At 42.7% G+C, this 4,207-nt stretch overlaps 1 pseudogene; it reads right to left on the bottom strand.

The window, feature by feature from the left end:
• On the bottom strand, positions 2,776 to 2,878 carry RNU6-231P (RNA, U6 small nuclear 231, pseudogene; annotated as a pseudogene).

Below are 4,207 nucleotides of genomic sequence, written 5' to 3'. Positions count from 1 at the left end.
CACTCCAGCCTGGGCAAAAAGAGCAAAACTCTGTCTCCAAAAAAAAAAAAAAAAAAAAAAAAGCAAAAGAAAATGAGTAGCTCTGGCAGCAAGGCTATGGCACTTCCTTTATTTTTCAGTATTTTTTAGTAGATTGAACAGATACTATGCCTGCTTGATTTCAAGTGCTATGGATCCCTGAATGGTAGTCATGGTAGCAGAAGTGAAAATAGGAAGTTCCACGATATATATATTTTTTAATTTCCCACTTCTATGTCTGATTTATCTTCATAAAACAGGACATTCTGATTTTGTTCTGGGTAGTCTTTCTCTGTTGACCTCATCATTGAAACACAGTGCTACCCCCTTGGACTCCTAGAAGAGAGGTTGTCATCAAAGCATTAGGAAGCTTTAGGAACCCCAGGAATTCTAGAAAGCATCTGAAGGTCAGCGATTGGACATCTGTTGATAAACTTGGGCGGAGTCAACTATTGCAAATAATTGCCCCCTCCCAGAAAATATTAGAGGGTGCTCACTAGCCCCAGGCATCTGCCATGGGTGCTGCCTTCTCACACAGTGTCTGTACATGTCCCCAGTTACACTAACATCTTTAAGCTCAAAGAATCCCAGCTCCTCCAGGGACTGCAGTGGGAACCTTGAATAGATGACCAACCTCCATCAGCCTGTTTCTTCATCTGCAAAGTGGTAAAATAGCTTTATTCCACACGGTTGTTTTAAGGTAGAAAAATACAATATATAATAATTATATATAATATAGTTTTTATTGTATAAAAATACAACATGCAATGTAAATAAGTATGTATAATATTATATATATAATAATATAATTGAGTATTTAGCACAGCACTAGCCAGATAATAAATGCCCAATAAGTATATGGAAGAAATAGAGAAGACAACTACCAGTGCAATTCTTTTTTTTTTTTTTTTTTTGGGACAGAGTCTCGCTCTGTCACCCAGGCTAGAGTGCAGTGGCGTGATCTCGGCTCACTGCAACCTCCACCTCCCAGGTTCAAGCGATTCTCCTGCCTCAGCCTCCCGAGTAGCTGAGATGACAGGCACACACCATCACGCCCGGCTAATTTTTGTATTTTTAGTAGAGACGGGATTTTGCCATGTTGGCCAGGCTGGTTTCAAACTCCTGACCTCCAGTGATCCACCCACCTCAACCTCCCAAAGTGCTGGGATTACAGGTGGGAGCCACCATGCCGGGCCTACCAATGCAATTCTTAAAAACTGCTGAGTATGTTTTACTGATCTAAGAACACTTCGTTACGCTAGGTCGAGGATTTATAATTTGAGGTTTATGGTGCCTTAGAGAAACTTACTTAAATTTTATGCGAAATGATATATTTATGGGCGTTTCTCTAGGGAGAAGGCGCAGAGTTTTCACCAGATTCTTAGATTCTCTGCTCTGGATAAGGTTAGGAACCACCATGGTTTCTATTTCTTAAGCCCACACCTCACTCCCATTAGGATGTCTCCTATCCAAAAAACAAAAAAAAAGGCCAGGTGCAGTGGCTCATGCCTGTAATCTCAGTACTTTGGAAGGCCAAGGCAGGTGGATCACCTGAGGTCAGGAGTTCGAGACCAGCCTGGCCAACATGGCAAGACCCCCATATCTACGAAAAATACAAAAATTAGCCAGGAGTGGTGGCTGGCACCTGTAATTCCAGCTACTCAGGGGGCTGAGGCAGGAGAATTGTTTCAACCTGGGAGGCGGAGGTTGCAGAGAGCCAAGATTGTGCCATGGCACTCCAGCCTGGACCACAAGAATGAAACTCCTTTTCAAAAAAAATAATAATAATAACAGAAAATAACAGAGATTGGAACATTATTGTATCAGGCTGCTCAGACTTTCATAATAAAAAAAAAGCTCCAGACTGCAGGTCAGGCATGGTGGCTCATGCCTGTAATCTCAGAGCTTTGGGAGGCCAAGGCAGGCTGATTATTTGAGCCCAGGAGTTCTAGACCAGCCTGGGCACCATAGTAAAATCCTGTCTCTATGAAAAATACAAAAAATTAGCTGGGCATAGCGGTGCGCGCCTATAGTCCCAGCTACTCAGGAGGCTGAAATGGAAGGATAGTGGAGTCCAGGAGGTAAATGTTGCAGTGAACTGAGATTGCACCACTGCACTCCAGCCTGAACAATTGAGCGAGAGCCTGTCAAAAAAAAAAAAAGAAAAAACCAAAAACCTCCAGACTGGGTAGCTTAAACAACACAAATACATTTTCTCACAGTTCTGGAGGCTAGATGTCCAAGATCAAGTTTCTGGCTGATTCGGTATCTGGTCAGCTGATTCAGTATCTCCTCCTGGCTCGCAAATGGCTGCCTCTTGCTCTGTCCCTACAAAGCCTTAGTGCCTTCGCATGGAGAGAAAAGGGCTAGCTCTTTGGTGCTCTTCTTTTATTATTATTATTATTATTATTATTATTATTATTATTTTTTGAGACAGAGCCTCGCTGTCTCCCAGACTGGAATGCAGTAGTAGTGTGATCTCAGCTCATATCAACCTCTGCCCCCACGGGTTCAAGCGATTCTCCTGCCTCAGCCTCCCAAAGATCACAGGCATGAGCCATGGCTCCTGGACCCCATGCTTTTACAAATGAGGAAACTGAGTCGTAGAGAGGGTTAAGGAACTTCCTGAATAGAAATAAAAAGTAGGAATGGGAATCAAACCTAGGCATTTGGGATCCAGTGTGGTGGCACGCACGTGCCAGTAATCCCAACTACTGGGGAGGCTGAGGCATGTTTCCACGACAACAGGCTATCTCACAAAAATGTAAGTGTCTCATGAGTCTCTAAGTCATCTCGGTTTAGGGACCAAGCCAATTGTCTCTGTAATGCTTCAGTTTTAATATATGCACTGTCAAAGTGAGCATGTATAAAAATGTACATTGTCAGCTATGATAATTAAATCCTTGACTCATCTGAACACTCCGCTATAACAGCAAGCATCACGTCATTTTGTAACTGTCTCTTAGCTGGTCCACCTCCTCTACCTCCTCCACTAAACCGCGCATTCCCTGACAACAGGGTTGACTTGTTCCCGTCTTAACCCCTTGTCTGATACAAGGTATTATGACCCTGGATATATACAAGTTAGATCATTTTGCAAGTGAGACTTGTACCATTTATAAGGACAAATACTCATTTTATATTTTAGTCTTACAAGGAAAAAGGCATCTGAGAAAATGTAGGGCATATGCAAGGGCCCCCACAAATTGAGCATAACACAATTCTGCAGATGTCTTGCTTTGTTATTGTTGTTTGGGGTTGTGTTTTTTGTTTTTATTTTTTGCTTGATAATAAGATTAAAGCCTCATATATATGTCAGAAAGTAGGGTGGCTGAATCTAATATCTTAGCATGTCCCATATTTTAAGCATAGTAGCTGCTCTATTTTCCAAATTAACTTGTTGATCATTTAAGTATCAAGAAGCCATGTGGTCCAGTCAGAGAAACATGCATCTCACAACTAAAAGTTGTGACTTTTAGTCACAGGCAACTTCAGGCCAGGCGCAGGGGCTCACACCTATAATATCAGCACTTTGGGAGGCCAAGGCAGGCAGATCACTGGAGGCCCAGAGTTCGAGACCAGCCTGGCCAAGACAGGGAAACCCCAGCTCTACCAAAAATACAAAAATTAGCTGGGAGTGGTGGCGCACGCCTATAAGTCCCAGCTACTGGGGAGGCTGAGGCAGGAGATTCGCTTGAACCTGAGAGGCAGAGGTTGCAGTGAGCCGAGATCGTGCCACTGCACTCCAGCCTGGGCAAAAAGAAGAAGAAAAGCAAGGGAAGGAAAAGAAAAGAAAAAACAGAAAAAAAGAAAAGAAAAGAAAAAGCAACTTCAAAATAATTCAGATCCTTCCCTTGTGTTTCTCAGAAGCCATGAAGTAGGGCCAAATAAATGTTCCAGAGCAGCCCTTATTAGAAAGCCCTTTCCTTTTCTAACCTCATACTCTAGCTGCTTCAGTGCCTCCTTCTACACATTTTTGGTGCTCATCTGGATCAAAATGTTGGAATAACACCACAAATTTATCTTCTCCCCAATCTCAAACTCATAAAATGCTACTAAATTAATTTAAAAGGCATAAACCTTCAATGGTAGAAGGAATAGCAGGCAGATCACACACAAGAGATTTCAGCAAAGCTCTGCAAGATGAGGAGCACCTGGAGAAGAGTAGCTACTGGGTGGGCTGAAGAAG

This window comes from Homo sapiens, chromosome 15 (genome assembly GCF_000001405.40).
Source record: "Homo sapiens chromosome 15, GRCh38.p14 Primary Assembly".
Classification (NCBI taxonomy): domain Eukaryota; kingdom Metazoa; phylum Chordata; class Mammalia; order Primates; family Hominidae; genus Homo; species Homo sapiens.
This window is presented reverse-complemented; position numbering and strand designations above follow the sequence as displayed.